Here is a 23,930-nt window from a genome sequence, read left to right as displayed (position 1 = left end):
TATGGAATATATGAATACATTATATTTGTGAAGAAAATGAACCCACTATAGATCAGGCTAATATTTTTTCCAATCATCATTTCCAATTCTTGTCTCTTTCCTTCTCTGAGGTAATTCTTATTTTGCGAATCCTTCCAGATATTTTCATATATTTATTTATCTCTTTATAAACATGTACATGAATTTAAATACACTTATTAGCACCCATTAAAAATGTGCAGTTTTATTTAGTGTTTCTTTTCTTTTTAGTGGTATTATATTGAATTATATTCACTTAGTAAAATAACTATTGATTAGATTAAATAGTTCCATTTCGTATAAAGAATTTCTAAAACAGAACTGTTTCTTACTCTAAAACCTACCTCCCTCTGTAAATCAATTTCTGCAAAAGTATGTGCAGAGCCTCAGTGAGAATTTTTGGATTAAGCATGTTTCAAATGAGTACTGCTGTGGCAGAATAATTGTATCAAATAAAGACAATTTACATTTAAGTTATTTGTCAAAGACTGATCTGTTAGATACAGTCGGTTTTACTGGGAGGAGCTCTATGCCATGAAAGGATGGATGGAACTTGAGTCAGAACACTGACTCACCCATCTGTGGTGGTATTTTGGGGGTGGACCTCTCAGAACACCAATCCAAGTAATATCTATTGTTTTTTGTTTTTTGTTTTTTTTCTAAATATCCAACTCAAAGGGGATTTACATTTCTTCCTTTAAATCACAGATCCATAGCTGTCATCACACTTGTTAAACAAGTTTCCTTTTCATTGTTTTTTGCTATTTTACCCAGCCCTTAAAATCTCAACTATCATTGCGGTTAGCACATTTACCAGAGAAGCACTGATCAGGACAAAAGAAGTGCAGAACTTTTCTTTATATTTATTTACTTCAACAGCCATTATATCAGCACATTATGTATAGGTAAGTTGAGATTTGCTTGCCTAAAGTTCTGACATCGATAGAATTAACACTATCTCCCCAGTATGACTCCCACCCAAAGATTGCAGTAAAACAACTGAGTTTGGGTAAGAAAGTTGTAGTTTTTCCACAGCATTTTTGGTTTCCTGCATGGAGACAAACCTGTCATATACACTTGTGTTTGCAATCTATAGTTTTTTTGTAATAATTTGAGGAGTGCTTCAGAAAGGTGATGTGCAGCTAAACCTCCTGTGAATGAAAAATAATATGAATGTGTGACTGTTGTAGAGAGCAGGTAGCGGAGGGAACATTTTCTTTTCTTATAAAACAAATGCTAAATTGTTGTTGATAGTGATGAGGATTAGGATTTCCTTGTATTTGTTAAACAATTCTTGCTTTCGAAAGGCTTTCATGAATATTATATTGAATCTCACAGTGTCATTGCTTCATAAGTATTCTCTGTTGAACCGTATGTAAATCTACATATTTTACTTGTTAAATATTCATGAACCAGAATCATATAATTATGTATTTACACATGCTATCTATTTTTAAAGTATCTAACTAGATAATTATCACAATAAGTGAACAGCGATCATTAATGGCAACATTTTAAGAACATACTTTCAGCTCACAAGGAGTTTTCATCTATATACATAAAATATAGCAAAATTAACTGAATTTAACTTATAACACTTAATGTTTGGATAACTATGAAATATAAGTGCATACCTTACACAAATAGTTTTCTAAAATGTGTATTTTAAGTCAATAGTTGAACCCTTTAAGATATGTGTGTATGTGTTTATATATATATATTCACAATATCAGTATTCATATGAAAATGTGATTTGACAGAGAATATTCACTGTGATAGAATATACTAAGAATTTTTCTTTAAGTAAAGTAAAAGGGTTTTTGTTATGTGATTATTTCTTTTTTATTAAGGATGCTATTTTATTCATAACCCTGATGTTTTCTTATTACCAGCATTTCTGATCTATCAATAAAAGAGTGATCAAACACATTTAAAAGTGGAAAAGAAACAGCATGATTGTTTTGTTTTGTTTTGCCTACCAGGGAGTCATCACCTTTATGCTGAGTGGATATTGTTTCCTTTAAGGCACCTCCACCTTTTCTTTCATCATACTGACACTGAGAAGTTCTAACCTGAAAGATTTCAAGTTCATACTGAGAAGTTCTAACCTGAAAGATTTCAAAAGATTAAGCCATTCTTTTGAATAAATACTTGTTACCTGGGAAAGGTTCAAGCCTTAATTCAGGGATTAGCTTCTCAGAATGAGGCATTAATCTGATTACACAGCAGAACATTGAGTGATTTAGAAACTTGGTTTACTTTGCTTGTACATTTGAGAAGATCTTACTGAACTTTGTGCTTGCATGTGGGTGCCTGATGAATAGTTAAGAGAAAGAAAAAAAAATACCAGAAGTGGAAATAAAGACTTCAAAACCACATTTTATCAATTTCAAATTTTTTCTTAGAGTTAGTCCTATCAAATAGAATGAGGAACATGTCAGAAGAAGGCAATGTTTTAGATTTTTGCAAAGGAAGTATTGAGAAGTTTACATCCAGGAATTTTTTTTTATGGCAAAATATAATTTATATTCTGTGTCCCCTCCGAGTAATTCCTTATGTGATTTTCCAGAAGAATTTGTTGTATGGACTACCAGAAATTGGCTAATAGCTGATATTCTTTCTACTTGGGAAGTTTCTTTGCCGTTTTTAGGCAGCTATTTAATCTATGTCATTGTCATAAAGTCTTTAGGTTACAAATTAAAGGTAGCTACAACCCAGAGAATCATCTGTGTTGTGACAAGAGATAATCAATATGGAAAACGGGATAAGGAATGAAAATATTAAATCCTATAGCAATTCTAATGAAATAAAGTTGAAAATTAGGAAGTCATTTCAGTTTTTCACCTTTAATCCACAGTGTCTGGGTGAATTCTAAAACATCATATTTGATTACATTTTAATAAATTTAGGGTTTTTTGTTCTTATAGAATACAACTTCTGAAAACAAACTGTAGAGATAAAATAAAACATTTGCCCAAATCTATGCAAAGATCTGTTCTGAATTAAAAGCTTAACAATAAAACGAGCCAAAATAAGAAATGTATAAATGTATCCTCAATTAAACAATGATTAAGGAAAAAAGTAATTAGTAAGAGTTCACAGGAGACAGAAAAGTGAAAAAATGATGAGTTGAGATTAGAGAACCAACCAGTGAGTAAGGTAGTTTTGGTGGAGCTGAATGCTTATGAGATGAACTAAGTGTTGATACATCATTAAAAGATCAACAATATTTTAAATTTGACAATGAGGAAAAAATGCTCATTATTTAAGGGCTTTTGAGAGATACTAAAGAATAAGACTGTGACATTCAGGAAGGGTATAAAAAGTTTGAGATAATTTAGCCATCATTGGAATGAAAACAAATGTTTGCCTTGGAAAAAGAAATACTGATTTTGTCTAATTTTTAATATAATAAGTCGTCTGACACACTGATCCAGTTTCTCAGCCTTGATTCTCTCTTATTTTTAGATAACTTCTAAATTTATACTTCCAAGTATCAGTCCTCATTTAACTAAGAGTCTGACATCTCCAATTGTTTCCTGAAAATTTCAATGCTCCTCAAACTCAAAATATGAAAAATTTACAATTTTTTTCTCCCCAATTTATCTCTTCTAGATTTCATTTTATTCTCCCCTTCCTCTTGAGGCAAATTTGTGTCATTAACATATCCTTATCCATTATCCATATAGTTAACTAATTACCAAGTTCTTGCATATATTTTACTCCTGTAAACTTTTTTGAATTCCTACTTTCTTTCTAATTATCATCACCCAGAATCCCATCATTCCAGTCTCGTGGAATAGAATAGGCTCTTTCCTTACTGATTTTCTTTTACTTTCTTCCTCCTTTCAACTATTATCATGCATATTACCTGCAATTTCATCTTCCTAAGAACTACAAGCCCTCATGTTAGTCATTCCACAAGATAAAGTCAAAACTCTTTTGACTAGCCCTGAAGGCTTTATATAACTTGGGTCCCTCTGATCTTTCCTCCAAAATGTAGTTGCCCTTGATCTTTATTCATTCACTTATTCAACAAAAATTACCTTTAATTCTAGCCACTGTGCAATATCCTGGATATAAAAAATAACAAATAATCATGTGGTCCCAGATCACAGCATGCTAAAAACTAAAGGTAAAAAGACTGAAATGTAAAAATAAAAAAATACTATGAATGTAGGACATAATATGATTGACCATGGAAGACTACAATGAAAAGGATATGACAGAGTTGAGTGATAAAGTTTGAGTGGAAGCTCACAGGGTAGACTTGAGGTGAACATTTTAGGTGCAGGAACGGAGAGTGCAAGGGCATAGAGACATGAGTCTTATGTGTCCATAGAGCTGTAAAAGGTTTGAAATGTCTAGAACATAGGTTATTTGTTGGAGAGTGAGAAGAGATAGTGGAGGGGTTGGCCTAAGTCAGGGACACATGCAGTTTATTTATAGAAACTTGAAGAAAAGAGAGTTTGGGGCACAGATGAAGAGAAGTTCAGAAATATGATGATGGAATTGTAAATATTCTTTAGTGATGCCTTCCATTTTCTCAGTGGAATACTATGGTTATCAACTAGGAGTGAGGATGAGTCAGATGGTGCTGGAGGTTTGAGGAGAAAAATGGTATGAAATCATTTTCTAGAAAAATGAAAAAACATCAATAGAAGATGGATTTTAAAAAAGATCTTATATTCCTGAAATCATCAACCCAATTTATTTTTTCTATAATCCAATCTATCATACACAGTGCACCCACATGCTACTTCTAATCTGAAAAAAAATCTGAAAAAAAACTGACAACGTGCCTTCATAGATTAAAGTCTTTCTGTATTTTACCATAAAGATAGTGTATAGTGTAGTGAGAATCTGCATCACCAGGATTATTAAAGTGCAAATTTCCAGGCCCTTATAGGAATGCTATTTCACTTGATCTGGAATAGGATTCCACCATCTGCAGTTTAATCACCTCAGGTGATTCTGATTAAGGTCACTCTCCAATTGCTCTTGAAAGAGCCTCAATGCAGAAGTCAAAATCTCAACATCCTTGTGGGGTATCAAGGGTAATTCTTGCTACTACTTCTCTGTTCATGTCAGGCACAGTTTTCTCGGGAAACAGAACCAATAGAAGATACAGATATACATACACACATATATACAAACATACACATACAGGTTTATTTTAAGGAATTGGCTCACACAACTGTGTGGTTTGAAAGTCTGAAATCCATAGAACAAGTTGCCAGTCTGGAACTCGGGAAGGATTTTTATGTTATCATCTCAAAGCAGAATTTTTTCATCTCCCAGAAACCTTCATTTTTGCTCTTAAGTTCTTCAACTGATTGGAAGAGGTTCACCCACATTATTAAAGGTAACCTCCTTTACTTAAAGTCAACTGATTATAAACGTTAGTTACAGCTATAGAATACCTTCACAGCCACATTTAAAGTAATGTTTGACCAGACAGCTCAGCACCACAGCCTAGCCAAAGTTAACACATAAAATTAGCCATCATACTCTCCGATGTCATCTTTGAATGATTAATGACTCAGTTTGCCATAACAAAATTGAATTGCTGGTCTTTCTTTAAGCATTGCATGTTGTTCCCTCTTCCTAGATGTCTTCCTATGTCATTTTGTCTAGAAAACTCCCACAGATCCTTATTTCAACTGAGATTGAGGCTCTCAATACAAATTTTTGCCTAAACAAGACATAGTGAAAATACCTGACATTGTAGATTCATCACGACATGCTTTTCTACGAAAGAGTTCTTTGAAACAGAGTAATAAATAAGCTAATAAGATAGATGGACAGTGCTCTAACACAGTATAGCACTTCATATTTGCGCATGTTCTTTGTATAAAATAAAGGCATAATAAATAATATAGGATCATGATCATACTCTAAAAGATTAATATGGGCTTAGGCATAAAGAACTTCTAAGACATTTCCCTTCCCTTCCCCACCCCTCTGACCTGACAAGATCTTCACTTACTGATACTCTGTTTCTAATCCTTGACCATGGGAGGGAGCAAGGTGCCAAGTATCGATAACTTGTAACCAACCACTATACTCCTAAATGTAACCTCATAACAGATTTAGAGAGGTTCAATCAAAAGCTTTAAGGCAAGCTGATTTTTTTAAATCTTTGTTTCTTCCTCTCACTCTTCCTCCCTCCCTCTGCTCTCCCTTTCTTCCTCCTTTTTAAAATGTCTTTTATTACTATTGTGTCTGAATTGTAGAGTTTCTAGGGGCGAGCAGGAGACAAGACATACAGATTTAAAATGACTGTGGTATTTCTGATAGAGCCTTCATATTCATATCATCCTTTACTTGCAGACCAGTCATGGCTTCCTGTACATCTGTGTCACTATGGATGATTGCCCTTCTTGTGTTTGGAGTGTTGGCAATCTTTGGAATAACTATTGGTCTCCTTGTTCATTTTCTGGCAGTAGGTTGGTAAATAATACATTTCATTTATTTCATTTTACTGTAATCTTTATTTCAATTTCTACAAAAGATAAAAAAAAATTGGAAACAATGAATTATCTCCCTTTAAAATGGCACCAGGAACCACAGATTACAGAAATAAGCATTGCTAACATTTGTCAAACACTGTATTGCAGACATCTTTTTCACTATACACAGATAAAATAATGGATATTCATACACAGACATGAATGCACAGATAGACTTTGGAAAACATAAGAAAAGTTGAAGTCATTTTTAAAAAATGCTATGTTTTAACTTTAGATATTATATCATTTATATCCTACTATGAAAGACAAGAAAATCATGTATTTGTACTTTTCATTTTCCTCCTACAATTCTCAGTAGTTTGTTAGCAATATTATTCTTACTACATCGTCAACATTTGTAACACTTTGTTCTGGTCTGTAATAAATGTTGCTACAGTTGTTTAGTTTGGAATATATATTTAGATGGAGCATATACTCATCATCAACTCTTTCTTCACGGTATTGCTATGCCTGGGTGTTGTTTTTTTTCCTCCAAAGTTAGTATGCTCATAAATAATCAAATAGTTACTCAGAGTTTTTCTTATGCAAACACAGCCCCTCCTTCACTATCCCTGTTTTTCACTTCTCAAATACAACCACTTTCAATTCTTTGATTCTTAATATTGCTGTATTCTAATTTTTCAATTGTTGGCATCATCTGTTCACTTTCTACTATGGAAGAATGAAGATTCTGTACACATTCATACTCTGGCAACATAGCAGTCATTTTGGGATTTCCCTTTAGCAGCATCCTGAGATTTACCTTCAACTATCTGTTGAATCTGACACCCTAATGCCTGAATTCCATATTTCTTTTTTATTATTGCATTCACTCAGCTGTAGTGGAGTATATACTCCAGGAGCTTTCTGGGAAAGGGTTACAATGGGAAGTGTACATTTTCGCCAACTTGTGTGCCTGAAAATGTCTTAATTCTACCCTTTACCTTAATTAATAATATCAAATTCTAAGTGGAAAGCAATTTTTCCTCTGAATTTTGATGCTAATACTCTGTTGTCTTATTGCCTTCAAAGTTCCTGTCAAGAAGTCTGATGACATTTTGATTCTAGAGTCTTTGAGGAAACCTCTTCTACCCTGTCCTTCATGTTCTGAAACCTCATTGGATTTTTTTTTCTTTGTCCACAGTATTTTGAAATTTCATGGTAATGTGACAGAGTGGAGATCTTATTTTCATCTGTTGTGATGACATTTAGTGGGCTATGTCAATCTGAAAATTCATTGTACTTCAGTGCCTGGAAATTTTCTTGGATTATGTCTTTGCTGATTTCCTGTCCTTCATGCTCTCTTTCTGAAGCTCCTGTTATTTTGACAGTGAGACTCCTAAATATGACATGTAATTTTTTAATCTTTTCCTTTATGTTTTTCATTTCTTCATCTTTTTTAAAAAAATCACTTTCTTGGCTGGGTGCGGTGGCTCATGCCTGTAATCCCAGCACTTTGGGAGGCCAAGGCGGGTGGATCACGAGGTCAGGAGATTGAGACCATCTTGGCCAACATGATGAAATGCCATCTCTACTAAAAATACAAAAATTAGCTGGGCGTGGTGGTGCGTGCCTCTAGTCCCAGCTACTTGGGAGGCTGAGGCAGGAGAATTGCTTGAACCCGGGAGGCAGAAGTTCCAGTGAGCCAAGATTGCACCACTGTACTCCAGACTGGCAACAGAGTGAGACTCCATCTCAAAAAAAAAAAAAAAAAAAAATCAAGTTCTTGATTTTCTCAAGTTTACTTTCTAAACTTTCTATTGATTTCTTATTTCTGTTATTATATATTTAAATTCTGAGATATCTGTCTAATTATCTAAATGTTCCTTTATATAACATCGTGATCGTATTTCTTACACTTCCTCTGAGGATAATAATGTTTAAATTTTTTTTTGCCTGAATAGTCTTTTTCTTCCAAGGTTTTCTTTGGTTATTTTGGTCATATTTCTTATTTCATACTTTTCTCAAATATATGTTGATCCTTTGGTGTCTGCAAATTTTTAAGATTGGGAATCAAAGACCTGACTGAAGGAAGTGCCTATTGGTGATGGTTTTTATTACAGATGTTCTATCTGGTTAGATGTTTTGTTGAGAGAACCTAAATTACCAGTATATTTAGGTATTTTCTCTTGCATTGGTCGGAATTCTTAGACAGGGGAAAATTCCTCCCTTGTTCTGCATGAATATATTTGCTGGTAGCTTTCTGTAGTCAAGTTGGGAAGAGTCCAGCATAGATATTTTGAGTGTGGTGCACCTGACCTCAACTGTTTCAGTCTCCATGGTCTGAAAACCTTAGCAGTTGGGAAAGACACTGGGAGCTAGTTGTTTCAATCAATTTTTCTGGTTTTAATTTCACTTCTTCTATTCTTACTTCCATGATTGCCTGGTACCATTTAAGCTGCTCTTTTAAGACAGCACATGCCTTTACTTTTCCCACTACAATATAAGGTTTTAGGTTTCTTGAGTCCGTTAGGCGAATTACCACTCACCTGTGTCCAGCTTTCATAATGCTGTTGTTGCCTCCTTTCCCATTATCATTGTCATTATGAGTTAACTTCTTTAAAACCCCAAACCACACAATTTTCCTATCATTTTAGTGGGATTTGGGGAAGAAACACGTATAGATGCATTTATTAAATTTATCATCTTTAAGTGAAAGTTCTTGATTCTTGAGTTTCTTATTATGACTAATCTCTAGGCTTGTTATAGGTCTTCTTGAAGTCATTCTTATAAGATTTTGAGCTGCTGAAATTCCTGAGATTTTACATGCATAACAATAGATAAGCAAAAAACGTATTTGTTTATATTATCTTTTCTTTAGAACTTTGTAAACTTTTCCCACTGTATTTTTGTAAATTTAGTGTTGTCAAAGAAAAGATCATGACCATTTCCTATTTGTAAATAGAAATGTAAATTATTTTGTTGTTTTTTTCTGCCAAATCATCACAAGATTATTTATGCTATAGATTCATCAAATCCACTCAGTCTTAGTATTCTGTTCATCCTTTAATTTTTCTTTGAACAAATGGGCCCTTTAAAGTGACAGATTTAAACTTCTTTGTTGAGTTCTTTTTTCAGGGCCGCCAATTATGCATTTGTTGGACCTCCTTTTCCTTTCATATTGTTTATTCCTTCAACAGTTTTAGTTTCTCTTTTCAATTTTATTTTATTTGTTTTGCTCAAGCCTGTCCTCATGATACAAGATTTTTAAAAATCTGTATCTGTTCTTCTCAATGTGGCTTTTATCTCTGATAGTCTTATTTTCCTCTTGCATTCCTTTACTAAATTCTGCAGCTTACTTGTCTTCTTTACTAAATGGTTGTACATTGTTTAATTCTTTTGTATACTGCATCTTTGAGACCATTGGAATTAGCTGTTAACACATTTTTGTTCCCTTGGTAATTCCTCTTCTAGTTTTTAAAAATATTTTTTCTTCCTTTTGGCTTTTTTCCTCCAAGATCTATGAGGTTCCCTACTGCATTATTTTTAACTACTATTTACCCTTTGGGGTTTGGGATAGATGTTTTCTAAAGAATACTGTAAGAAGTGGGCCTAGAGGGTAGATTATAGGCTGAGGGAGTGTTTTTTTTTTTAAATTGACACATAGTAATTGTATATATTTGTAAGGTTTAGGATGATATTTAGATATATGTATACAATATGTAATGATCAAGTCAGGGTAATTAATGTATTCATCACCTCAAACATTATCTATTTATTTTTGTCAAGAACACTCAACATTTTTTCTTCTAGCTATTTGAAAATACATAATAAATTATTGTTAAATATAGTCATCCTACAGTGCTTTAGAAGACAAGAAATTATTCCTCCTGCCTAACAGTAATTTTGATTTTGTATCTGTTAACACATCTCTTCCTATTCCCCTTCTCCTACACTTTCCAGCTTCTAGTAACCACTATTCTACTCTCTACATCTATGAGATCAAAGTTTTTAGCTTCTACATGTAAGTGTGAACATGCAGTATTTATCTTTCTGTGCCTGCCTGGCTTATTTTATTTAACGTCCCCCATTCATGTTGCTGAAAATGACAGGATTCCATTTTTTTATGACAGAATAGTATCTCATGATGTATATATACCACATTTTCTTTACCTATTCATCTGTTGATGGACACTTAGGGCTATTGTGAATAGTGCTGCAATAAACATGAGAGCAAAGATTTCTTTTTGACAAACTAATTTTCTTTCCTTTGGATATGTATATACCCAGTAGTAAGATTGCTGGACAATATGGTAGTTCTATTTCTAGCTTTTTGAAGAAACTTCATACTGTTTTCCATAATGGCTCTATTAATTTAAAATCTCTACCAACATTGTGTAAGAGCTCCCTTTTCTCCACATCCTTGCCAGCATTCGTTATTTTTGGTCTTTTTATAACAGCCATTCTAACTGGGGTAAGATTATATTTCATTGTGGTTTTGATATGCATTTCCCTGATGGTTAATGATGTTGAGCATTTTATTTTATTTTATTTCATTTATTTATTTTTTTGAGACAGAGTTTCGCTCTTTCACCCAGGCTGGAGTGAAGTGGCACGATCTTGGCTCACTGCAACCTCCGCCCCCCAGATTCAAGTGATTCTCCTCCCTCAGCCTCCTGTGTAGCTGGGATTATAAGCGCCCATCACCAAGCCCGGATAATTTTTGTATTTTTAGTAGAGACAGGGTTTCACCATGTTGGTCAGGCTGGTCTCAAACTCCTGACCTCAGGTGATCCACCTGCCTTGGCCTCCCAAAGTGCTAGGAGGTGTGAGCCACCACGCCCAGCCAAGCATTTTAAAAAATAGACCTGATGTCCCTTTGTTTGTCTTCTTTTGAAAAATGTCTATTCAGATCAACTGCCTATTTTTAGTTGGATTTCTTTTTCTGTTGAGTTCCTCGTATATTTCAGATATTAAATATTAATCTCTTGTTGGATGAATAGTTTCCTTCTATTCTTCAGGTGTCTCTTTACTCTATTGATAGTTTTCTTTGTTGTGCTGAAGTTTTTTAGTTTGATATAATCCCATTCGTCTACTTTTGCTTTTATTACCTGTGCTTTTGAGGTCTTATTCATAAAACATTTGCCCAGACTAATGTCTTAGGGCATTTCCTCTATGTTTTCCTCAAGTAATTTTACAGTTCTGTGCCTTACATTTAACTCTGTAAGTCACCCTGATTTGATTTTTGTGTACAATGTAAGAGAGGGGTCTAGTGTCATTCTTCTGTATGTGGACATCCAGTTTCCCCAGCACCATTTTTTGAAAAGATTGTCCTTTCCCCAATGTATGCTCTTGTTGCTTTTGTCAAAAATCAGATAACTGTAAATATGTACCACACGATTTTTGTCACTATAGCTTTGTTGAAGTATACGTTGTATACGTTGAAGTCAGGTAGTGTGATGCCTCCAGCTTTGTTCTTTTTGCTCAGGATTGCTTTGGCTATTTGGGTCTTTTGTGGTTCCAAAACAATTTTAGGATTGTTTTTTCTATTTCTGTGAAAAATGTCATTGGTTAAAAAAGTCATTGGTGTTTTGATAAGAGTTGCATTAAATCTGTAGATTGCTTTGAGTAGTATACTCATTTTATCAACATTAATTATTCCATTCCATGAACATGTGTTGTCTTTTAATTTTTTTGAGCGTCTTCTATTTCTTTCCTCAGAGTTTTGTAGTTTTCTTTATAGAGATCTTTCACCTCCTTGGTTAAATTCATTTTATGATTCTCTTTTTCTGTAGCTATTGTAATTGGGATTGTTTCCTTGATTTATTTTTCAACCAGTTTGTTATTGATGTATAAAAATGCTACTGATTTTTATATGTTAATTTTTAATCTTGAAACTTAGTTGAGTTCATTTATCAGTTGTAAGAATGTTTTGGTTACGTCTTTAGTTTTTTTTTAAATATAAGATTATGTCACCTGTAAACAGGGACAATTTAACTTTCTCTTTTCTAATTATGGATGTTTTTTCCCTTAATGCTCTGTCTCGGACTTCCAGGCTGAGGGAGTCTGCAGTTTATATCTTCACCTATTATCTCAAAAATTATCTTATCTAATTGTTGTTTTCTTTAACCCCAGGGTCCATTTAGTTTCATTTTTTAAGAGGTAAGAAGATGGGGTGGCCCTGAAGAAATCTCCCTAATTTGCAGACTCTCTGAATTATGATATAGTAATTTCTGATGTCCTTTCTTTTTTTTCCCCCAGGTTACCTTCAGCAAGTTGCCTTAGCTGGAAGATTGGAACATATACAATAAAAATGTCACAATTGTATGATTTCACTTTTATTTATTTATTTATTTATTTTTGTTTATTTTTTTATTATACTTTAAGTTTTAGGGTACATGTGCACAACGTGCTAGTTTGTTACATATGTATACATGTGCCATGTTGGCATGCTGCTCCCATTAACTCGTCATTTAACATTAGGTATATCTCCTAATGCTATCCCTCCCCCCTCCCCCAACCCCAAAACAGGCCCCGGTGTGTAATGTTCCGCTTCCTGTGTCCATATGCTCTCATTGCTCAATTCCCACCTATGAGTGAGAATATGTGGTGTATGGTTTTTTGTCCTTGCAATAGTATGCTGAGAATGATGATTTCCAGCTTCATCCGTGTCCCTACAAAGGACATGAACTCATCATTTTTTATGGCTGCATAGTATTCCATAGTGTATATGTGCCACATTTCCTTGATCCAGTATATCATTGTTGGACATTTGGGTTGGTTCCAAGTCTTTGCTATTGTGAATAGTGCCTCAATAAACATACGTGTGCATGTGTCTTTACAGCAGCATGTTTTGTAATCCTTTGGGTATATACTCAGTAATGGGATTGCTGGGTCAAATGGTATTTCTAGTTCTACATCCCTGAGGAATCGCCACACTGACTTCCACAATGGTTGAACTAGTTTACAGTCCCACCAACAGTGTAAAAGTGTTCCTATTTCTCCACATCCTCTCCAGCACCTGTTGTTTCCTGACTTTTTAATGATTGCCATTCTAATTGGTGTGAGATGGTATCTAATTGTGGTTTCGATTTGCATTTCTCTGATGGCCAGTGATGATGAACATTTTTTCATGTGTCTTCTGGCTGCATAAATGTCTTCTTTTGAGAAGTGTCTGTTCATGTCCTTTGCCCACTTTTTGATCGGTTTGTTTGTTTTTTTTTTTTGTAAATTTGTTGGAGTTCATTGTAGATTCTGGATATTAGCCCTTTGTCAGATGAGTAGGTTGCGAAAATTTTCTCCCATTTTCTAGGTTGCCTGTTCACTCTGATGGTAGTTTCTTTTGCTGTGCAGAAGCTCTTTAGTTTAATTAGATCCCATTTGTCAATTTTGGCTTTTGTTGCCATTGCTTTTGGTGTTTTAGACATGAAGTCCTTGCCCATGCCTATGTCCTGAATGGTAAAGCCTAGGTTTTCTTCTAGGGTTTTTATGGTTTTAGGTCTAATGTTTAAGTCTTTAATCCATCTTGAATTAATTTTTGTATAAGGTGTAAGGAAGGGATCCAGTTTCAGCTTTCTACATATGGCTAGCCAGTTTTCCCAGCACCATTTATTAAATAGGCAATCCTTTCCCCATTGCTAGTTTTTCTCAGGTTTGTCAAAGATCAGATAGTTGTAGATATGCGGCATTATTTCTGAGGGCTCTGTTCTGTTCCATTGATCTATATCTCTGTTTTGGTACCAGTGCCATGCTGTTTTGGTTACTGTAGCCTTGTAGTATAGTTTGAAGTCAGGTAGTGTGATACCTCCAGCTTTGTTCTTTTGGCTTAGGATTGACTTGGCGATGTGGGCTCTTTTTTGGTTCCATATGAACTTTAAAGTAGTTTTTTCCAATTCTGTGAAGAAAGTCATTGGTAGCTTTATGGGGATGGCATTGAATCTATAAATTACCTTGGGCAGTATGGCCATTTTCACGATATCGATTCTTCCTACCCATGAGCGTGGAATGTTCTTCCATTTGCTTGTATCCTCTTTTATTTCATTGAGCAGTGGTTTGTACTTCTCCTTGAAGAGGTCCTTCACATCCCCTGTAAGTTGGATTCCTAGGTATTTTATTCTCTTTGAAGCAATTGTGAATGGGAGTTCACTCATGATTTGGCTCTCTGTTTGCCTGTTATTGGTGTGTAAGAGTGCTTGTGATTTTTGTACATTGATTTTGTATCCTGAGACTTTGCTGAAGTTGCTTCTCAGCTTAAGGAGATTTTGGGCTGAGACCATGGGGTTTTCTAGATATACAATCATGGCATCTGCAAACAGGGACAATTTGACTTCCTCTTTTCCTAATTGAATACCCTTTATTTCCTTCTCCTGCCTAATTGCCCTGGCCAGAACTTCCAACACTATGTTGAATAGGAGTGGTGAGAGAGGGCATCCCTGTCTTCTGCCAGTTTTCAAAGGGAATGCTTCCAGTTTTTGCCCATTCAGTATGATATTGGCTGTGGGTTTGTCATAGATAGCTCTTATTATTTTGAGATACGTCCCATCAATACCTAATTTATTGAGAGTTTTTAGCATGAAGCGTTGTTGAATTTTGTCAAAGGCCTTTTCTGCATCTATTGACATAATAATCATGTGGTTTTTGTCTTTGATTCTGTTTATATGCTGGATTACATTTATTGATTTGCATATGTTGAACCAGTCTTGCATCCCAGGGATGAAGCCCACTTGATCATGGTGGATAAGCTTTTTGATGTGCTGCTGGATTCAGTTTGCCAGTTTTTATTGGGGATTTTTGCATTGGTGTTCATCAGGGATATTAGTCTAAGATTCTCTTTTTTGGTTGTGTCTCTGCCCTGCTTTGGTATCAGGATGATGCTGGCCTCATAAAATGAGTTAGGGAGGATTACCTCTTTTTCTATTGATTGGAATAGTTTCAGAAGGAATGGTACCAGTTCCTCCTTGTACCTCTGGTAGAATTCAGCTGTGAATCCATCTGGTCCTGGACTCTTTTTGGTTGGTAAACTATTGATTATTGCCACAATTTCAGATCCTGTTATTGGTCTATTCAGAGATTCAACTTCTTCCTGGTTTAGTCTTGGGAGAGTGTATGTGTCGAGGAATTTATCCATTTCTTCTAGATTTTCTAGTTTATTTGCATAGAAGTGTTTGTAGTATTCTCTGATGGCAGTTTGTATTTCTGTGGGATTGGTGGTGATATCCCCTTTATCATTTTTTATTGCGTCTATTTGATCCTTCTCCCTTTTCTTCTTTTTTTTTATTATACTTTAAGTTTTAAGGTACATGTGCACATTGTGCAGGTTAGTTACATATGTATACATGTGCCATGCTGGTGCGCTGCACCCACTAACTCGTCATCTAGCATTAGGTATATCTCCCAATGCTCTCCCTCCCCACTCCCCCCACCCCACAACTGTCCCCAGAGTGTGATATTCCCCTTCCTGTGTCCATGTGATCTCATTGTTCAGTTCCCACCTATGAGTGAGAATATGCGGTGTTTGGTTTTTTGTTCTTGCGATAGTTTACTGAGAATGATGATTTCCAATTTCATCCATGTCCCTACAAAGGACATGAACTCATCATTTTTTATGGCTGCATAGTATTCCATGGTGTATATGTGCCACATTTTCTTAATCCAGTCTATCATTGTTGGACATTTGGGTTGGTTCCAAGTCTTTGCTATTGTGAATAATGCCGCAATAAGCATACGTGTGCATGTGTCTTTATAGCAGCATGATTTATAGTCCTTCGGGTATATACCCAGTAATGGGATGGCTGGGTCAAATGGTATTTCTAGTTCTACATCCCTGAGGAATCGCCACACTGACTTCCACAATGGTTGAACTAGTTTACAGTCCCACCAACAGTGTAAAAGTGTTCCTATTTCTCCACATCCTCTCCAGCACCTGTTGTTTCCTGACTTTTCAATGATCGACATTCTAACTGGTGTGAGATGGTATCTCATTTTGGTTTTGATTTGCATTTCTCTGATGGCCAGTGATGATGAGCATTTTTTCATGTGTCTTCTGGCTGCATAAATGTCTTCTTTTGAGAAGTGTCTGTTCATGTCCTTCGCCCACTTTTTGATGGGGTTGTTTGTTTTTTTCTTGTAAATTTGTTTGAGTTCACTGTAGATTCTGGATATTAGCCCTTTGTCAGATGAGTAGGTTGCGAAAATTTTCTCCCATTTTCTAGGTTGCCTGTTCACTCTGATGGTAGTTTCTTTTGCTGTGCAGAAGCTCTTTAATTAGATCCCATTTGTCAATTTTGGCTTTTATTGCCATTGCTCTTGGTGTTTTAGACATGAAGTCCTTGCCCATGCCTATGTCCTGAATGGTAATGCCTAGGTTTTCTTCTAGGGTTTTTATGGTTTTAGGTCTAATGTTTAAGTCTTTAATCCATCTTGAATTAATTTTTGTATAAGGTGTAAGGAAGGGATCCAGTTTCAGCTTTCTACATATGGCTAGCCAGTTTTCCCAGCACCATTTATTAAATAGGCAATCCTTTCCCCATTGCTAGTTTTTCTCAGGTTTGTCAAAGATCAGATAGTTGTAGATATGCGGCATTATTTCTGAGGGCTCTGTTCTGTTCCATTGATCTATATCTCTGTTTTGGTACCAGTACCATGCTGTTTTGGATACTGTAGCCTTGTAGTATAGTTTGAAGTCAGGTAGTGTGATACCTCCAGCTTTGTTCTTTTGGCTTAGGATTGACTTGGCGATGTGGGCTCTTTTTTGGTTCCATATGAACTTTAAAGTAGTTTTTTCCAATTCTGTGAAGAAAGTCATTGGTAGCTTTACGGGGATGGCATTGAATCTGTAAATTACCTTGGGCAGTATGGCCATTTTCACGATATTGATTCTTCCTACCCATGAGCAGGGAATGTTCTTCCATTTGTTTGTATCCTCTTTTATTTCCTTGAGCAGTGGTTTGTACTTCTCCTTGAAGAGGTCCTTCACATCCCTTGTAAGTTGGATTCCTAGGGATTTTATTCTCTTTGAAGCAATTGTGAATGGGAGTTCACTCATGATTTGGCTCTCTGTTTGTCTGTTATTGGTGTAAAAGAATGCTTGTGATTTTTGTACATTGATTTTGTATCCTGAGACTTTGTTGAAGTTGCTTCTCAGCTTAAGATTTTGGGCTGAGACAATGGTGTTTTCTAGATATACAATCATGTCATCTGCAAACAGAGACAATTTGACTTCCTCTTTTCCTAATTGATTACCCTTTATTTCCTTCTCCTGCCTAATTGCCCTGGCCAGAACTTCCAACACTATGTTGAATAGGTGTGGTGAGAGAGGGCATCCCTGTCTTCTGCCTGTTTTCAAAGGGAATGCTTCCAGTTTTTGCCCATTCAGTATGATATTGGCTGTGGGTTTGTCATAGATAGCTCTTATTATTTTGAGATACGTCCCATCAATACCTAATTTATTGAGAGTTTTTAGCATGAAGCGTTGTTGAATTTTGTCAAAGGCCTTTTCTGCATCTATTGACATAATAATCATGTGGTTTTTGTCTTTGATTCTGTTTATATGCTGGATTACATTTATTGATTTGCATATGTTGAACCAGTCTTGCATCCCAGGGATGAAGCCCACTTGATCATGGTGGATAAGCTTTTTGATGTGCTGCTGGATTCAGTTTGCCAGTTTTTATTGGGGATTTTTGCATTGGTGTTCATCAGGGATATTAGTCTAAGATTCTCTTTTTTGGTTGTGTCTCTGCCCTGCTTTGGTATCAGGATGATGCTGGCCTCATAAAATGAGTTAGGGAGGATTACCTCTTTTTCTATTGATTGGAATAGTTTCAGAAGGAATGGTACCAGTTCCTCCTTGTACCTCTGGTAGAATTCAGCTGTGAATCCATCTGGTCCTGGACTCTTTTTGGTTGGTAAACTATTGATTATTGCCACAATTTCAGATCCTGTTATTGGTCTATTCAGAGATTCAACTTCTTCCTGGTTTAGTCTTGGGAGAGTGTATGTGTCGAGGAATTTATCCATTTCTTCTAGATTTTCTAGTTTATTTGCATAGAAGTGTTTGTAGTATTCTCTGATGGCAGTTTGTATTTCTGTGGGATTGGTGGTGATATCCCCTTTATCATTTTTTATTGCGTCTATTTGATCCTTCTCCCTTTTCTTCTTTTTTTTTATTATACTTTAAGTTTTAAGGTACATGTGCACATTGTGCAGGTTAGTTACATATGTATACATGTGCCATGCTGGTGCGCTGCACCCACTAACTCGTCATCTAGCATTAGGTATATCTCCCAATGCTCTCCCTCCCCACTCCCCCCACCCCACAACTGTCCCCAGAGTGTGATATTCCCCTTCCTGTGTCCATGTGATCTCATTGTTCAGTTCCCACCTATGAGTGAGAATATGCGGTGTTTGGTTTTTTGTTCTTGCGATAGTTTACTGAGAATGATGATTTCCAATTTCATCCATGTCCCTACAAAGGACATGAACTCATCATTTTTTATGGCTGCATAGTATTCCATGGTGTATATGTGCCACATTTTCTTAATCCAGTCTATCATTGTTGGACATTTGGGTTGGTTCCAAGTCTTTGCTATTGTGAATAATGCCGCAATAAGCATACGTGTGCATGTGTCTTTATAGCAGCATGATTTATAGTCCTTCGGGTATATACCCAGTAATGGGATGGCTGGGTCAAATGGTATTTCTAGTTCTACATCCCTGAGGAATCGCCACACTGACTTCCACAATGGTTGAACTAGTTTACAGTCCCACCAACAGTGTAAAAGTGTTCCTATTTCTCCACATCCTCTCCAGCACCTGTTGTTTCCTGACTTTTCAATGATCGACATTCTAACTGGTGTGAGATGGTATCTCATTTTGGTTTTGATTTGCATTTCTCTGATGGCCAGTGATGATGAGCATTTTTTCATGTGTCTTCTGGCTGCATAAATGTCTTCTTTTGAGAAGTGTCTGTTCATGTCCTTCGCCCACTTTTTGATGGGGTTGTTTGTTTTTTTCTTGTAAATTTGTTTGAGTTCACTGTAGATTCTGGATATTAGCCCTTTGTCAGATGAGTAGGTTGCGAAAATTTTCTCCCATTTTCTAGGTTGCCTGTTCACTCTGATGGTAGTTTCTTTTGCTGTGCAGAAGCTCTTTAATTAGATCCCATTTGTCAATTTTGGCTTTTATTGCCATTGCTCTTGGTGTTTTAGACATGAAGTCCTTGCCCATGCCTATGTCCTGAATGGTAATGCCTAGGTTTTCTTCTAGGGTTTTTATGGTTTTAGGTCTAATGTTTAAGTCTTTAATCCATCTTGAATTAATTTTTGTATAAGGTGTAAGGAAGGGATCCAGTTTCAGCTTTCTACATATGGCTAGCCAGTTTTCCCAGCACCATTTATTAAATAGGCAATCCTTTCCCCATTGCTAGTTTTTCTCAGGTTTGTCAAAGATCAGATAGTTGTAGATATGCGGCATTATTTCTGAGGGCTCTGTTCTGTTCCATTGATCTATATCTCTGTTTTGGTACCAGTACCATGCTGTTTTGGATACTGTAGCCTTGTAGTATAGTTTGAAGTCAGGTAGTGTGATACCTCCAGCTTTGTTCTTTTGGCTTAGGATTGACTTGGCGATGTGGGCTCTTTTTTGGTTCCATATGAACTTTAAAGTAGTTTTTTCCAATTCTGTGAAGAAAGTCATTGGTAGCTTTACGGGGATGGCATTGAATCTGTAAATTACCTTGGGCAGTATGGCCATTTTCACGATATTGATTCTTCCTACCCATGAGCAGGGAATGTTCTTCCATTTGTTTGTATCCTCTTTTATTTCCTTGAGCAGTGGTTTGTACTTCTCCTTGAAGAGGTCCTTCACATCCCTTGTAAGTTGGATTCCTAGGGATTTTATTCTCTTTGAAGCAATTGTGAATGGGAGTTCACTCATGATTTGGCTCTCTGTTTGTCTGTTATTGGTGTAAAAGAATGCTTGTGATTTTTGTACATTGATTTTGTATCCTGAGACTTTGTTGAAGTTGCTTCTCAGCTTAAGATTTTGGGCTGAGACAATGGTGTTTTCTAGATATACAATCATGTCATCTGCAAACAGAGACAATTTGACTTCCTCTTTTCCTAATTGATTACCCTTTATTTCCTTCTCCTGCCTAATTGCCCTGGCCAGAACTTCCAACACTATGTTGAATAGGTGTGGTGAGAGAGGGCATCCCTGTCTTCTGCCTGTTTTCAAAGGGAATGCTTCCAGTTTTTGCCCATTCAGTATGATATTGGCTGTGGGTTTGTCATAGATAGCTCTTATTATTTTGAGATACGTCCCATCAATACCTAATTTATTGAGAGTTTTTAGCATGAAGCGTTGTTGAATTTTGTCAAAGGCCTTTTCTGCGTCTATTGAGATAATCATGTGGTTTTTGTCTTTGGTTCTGTTTATATGCTGGATTACATTTATTGATTTGCGTATATTGAACCAGCCTTGCATCCCAGGCATGAAGCCCACTTGATCATGGTGGATAAGCTTTTTGATGTGCTGCTGGATTCAGTTTGCCAGTATTTTATTGAGGATTTTTGCATCAATGTTCCTCAGGGATATTGGTCTAAAATTCTCTTTTTTGGTTGTGTCTCTGCCCAGCTTTGGTATCAGAATGATGCTGGCGTCATAAAATGAGTTAGGGAGGATTCCCTCTTTTTCTATTGATTGGAATAGTTTCAGAAGGAATGGTACCAGTTCCTCCTTGTACCTCTGGTAGAATTCGGCTGTGAATCCATCTGGTCCTGGACTCTTTTTGGTTGGTAAACTATTGATTATTGCCACAATTTCAGCTCCCGTTATTGGTCTATTCAGAGATTCAACTTCTTCCTGGTTTAGTCTTGGGAGAGTGTATGTGTCGAAGAATTTATCCATTTCTTCTAGATTTTCTAGTTTATTTGCGTAGAGGTGTTTGTAGTATTCTCTGATGGTAGTTTGTATTTCTGTGGGATCGGTGGTGATATCCCCTTTATCATTTTTTATTGCGTCTATTTGATTCTTCTCTCTTTTTTTCTTTATTAGTCTTGCTAACGGTCTATCAATTTTGTTGATCCTTTCAAAAAATCAGATCCTGGATTCATTAATTTTTTGAAGGGTTTTTTTTGTCTCTATTTCCTTCAGTTCTGCCTGATTTTAGTTATTTCTTGCCTTCTGCTAGCTTTAGAATGTGTTTGCTCTTGCTTTTCTAGTTCTTTTAATTGTGATGTTAGGGTGTCAATTTTGGATCTTTCCTGCTTTCTCTTGTGGGCATTTAGTCCTATAAATTTCCCTCTACACACTGCTTTGAATGCATCCCAGAGATTCTGGTATGTTGTGTCTTTGTTCTTGTTGGTTTCAAAGAACATCTTTATTTCTGCCTTCATTTCGTTATGTATCCAGTAGTCATTCAGGAGCAGGTTGTTCAGTTTCCATGTAGTTGAGCGGTTTTGAGTGAGATTCTTAATCCTGAGTTCTAGTTTGATTGCACTGTGGTCTGAGAGGTAGTTTGTTATAATTTCTGTTCTTTTACATTTGCTGAGGAGAGCTTTACTTCCAAGTATGTGGTCAATTTTGGAATAGGTGCGGTGTGGTGCTGAAAAAAATGTATATTCTGTTGATTTGGGGTGGAGAGTTCTGTAGATGTCTATTAGGTCCGCTTGGTGCAGAGCTGAGTTCAATTCCTGGGTATCCTTGTTGACTTTCTGCCTCGTTGATCTGTCTAATGTTAACAGTGGGGTGTTAAAGTCTCCCATTATTATTGTGTGGGAGTCTAAGTCTCTTTGTAGGTCTCTAAGGACTTGCTTTATGAATCTTGGTACTCGTGTATTGGGTGCATATATATTTAGGATAGTTATTTCTTCTTGTTGAATTGATCCCTTTACCATTATGTAATGGCCTTCTTTGTCTCTTTTGATCTTTGTTGGTTTAAAGTTTGTTTTATCAGAGACTAGGATTGCAACCCCTGCTTTTTTTGTTTTGCATTTGCTTGGTAGATCTTCCTCCATCCCTTTATTTTGAGCCCATGTGTGTCTCTGCACATGAGATGGGTTTCCTGAATACAGCACAGTGATGGGTCTTGGCTGTTTATCCAATTTGCCAGTCTGTGTCTTTTAATTGGAGCATTTAGCCCATTTATATTTAAGGTTAATATTGTTATATGTGAATTTGATCCTGTCATTATGATGATAGCTGGTTATTTTGCTTGTTAGTTGATGCAGTTTCTTCCTAGCCTCAATGGTCTTTACAATTTGGCATGTTTTTGCAGTGGCTGGTACCGATTGTTCCTTTCCATGTTTAGTGCTTCCTTCAGGAGTTCTTTTAGGGCAGGCCTGGTGGTGATAAAATCTCTCAGCATTTGCTTGTCTGTAAAGTATTTTATTTCTCCTTCACTTGTGAAGCTTAGTTTGGCTGGATATGAAATTCTGGGTTGAAAACTCTTTTCTTTAAGAATGTTGAATATTGGCCCCCACTCTCTTCTGGCTTGTAGAGTTTCTGCCAAGAGATCTGCTGTTTGTCTGATGGTCTTCCCTTTGAGGGTAACCCGACCTTCCTCTCTGGCTGCCGTTAACATTTTTTCCTTCATTTCAACTTTGGTTAATCTGCCAATTATGTGTCCTGGAGTTGCTTTTCTCAAGGAGTATCTTTGTGGCATTCTCTCTATTTCCTGAATTTGAATGTTGGCCTCCCTTGCTAGATTGGGGAAGTTCTCCTGGATAATATCCTGCAGAGTGTTTTCCAACTTTGTTCCATTCTCCAAGTCACTTCTAGGTACACCAATCAGATGTAGATTTGGTCTTTTCACATAGTCCCATATTTCTTGGGGGTTTTGTTAGTTTCTTTTTATTCTTTTTTCTCTGAACTTCTCTTCTCACTTCATTTCATTCATTTGATGTTCCATCACTGATACCCTTTTTTCCAGTTGATTGAATCGGCTACTGATGCTTGTGCATTTGTCACGTAGTTCTCGTGCCTTGGTTTTTAGCTCCATCAAGTCCTTTAGGGACTTCTTTGCATTGGTTATTCTAGTTAGCCATTCGTGTAATTTTTTTCAAGGTTTTTAACTTCTTTGCCATGGGTTCGAACTTCCTCCTTTAGCTCAGAGTAGTTTGATCGTCTGAAGCTTTCTTCTCTCAACTCATCAAAGTCATTCTCCATCCAGCTTTGTTCCATTGCTGGTTAGGAGCTGCGTTCCTGTGGAGGAGGACAGGCACTCTGATTTTTAGAGTTTCCAGTTTTTCTGCTCAGTTTTTTCCCCATCTTTGTGGTTTAATCTACTTTTGGTTTTTGATGATGGCGATGTACAGATGGAGTTTTGGTGTGGATGTCCTTTCTGTTTGTTAGTTTTCCTTCTAACAGTCAGGACCCTCAGCTGCAGGTCTGTTGGAGTTTGCTGTTGGTCCACTCCAGACACTGTTTGCCTGGGTATCAGCAGCAGAGGCTGCAGAACAA

At 36.2% G+C, this 23,930-nt stretch overlaps 2 pseudogenes across 2 annotated transcripts in view; one reads left to right on the top strand and one right to left on the bottom strand.

The window, feature by feature from the left end:
* The first annotated feature begins 748 nt into the window (after window positions 1-748).
* The window catches only part of TMPRSS11BNL (TMPRSS11B N-terminal like (pseudogene)), a 33,952-nt pseudogene continuing 10,770 nt past the window's right edge, over window positions 749-23,930 (top strand). Inside the window, exons 1-2 of the transcript NR_104048.1 lie at window positions 749-923; window positions 6,352-6,467. The product of NR_104048.1 is annotated as a TMPRSS11B N-terminal like (pseudogene) (transcript). The remainder of the gene's footprint in view (window positions 924-6,351; window positions 6,468-23,930) is intronic.
* Window positions 6,359-23,930, bottom strand: part of FTLP10 (ferritin light chain pseudogene 10) — a 30,179-nt pseudogene continuing 12,607 nt past the window's right edge. Inside the window, exon 3 of the transcript NR_015446.2 lies at window positions 6,359-6,523. The product of NR_015446.2 is annotated as a ferritin light chain pseudogene 10 (transcript). The remainder of the gene's footprint in view (window positions 6,524-23,930) is intronic.

This window comes from Homo sapiens, chromosome 4 (assembly GCF_000001405.40).
Source record: "Homo sapiens chromosome 4, GRCh38.p14 Primary Assembly".
Lineage (NCBI taxonomy): Eukaryota > Metazoa > Chordata > Mammalia > Primates > Hominidae > Homo > Homo sapiens.
The sequence above is the reverse complement of the archived record's forward strand: the minus strand, read 5'-3'. Positions and strand labels throughout refer to the sequence as shown.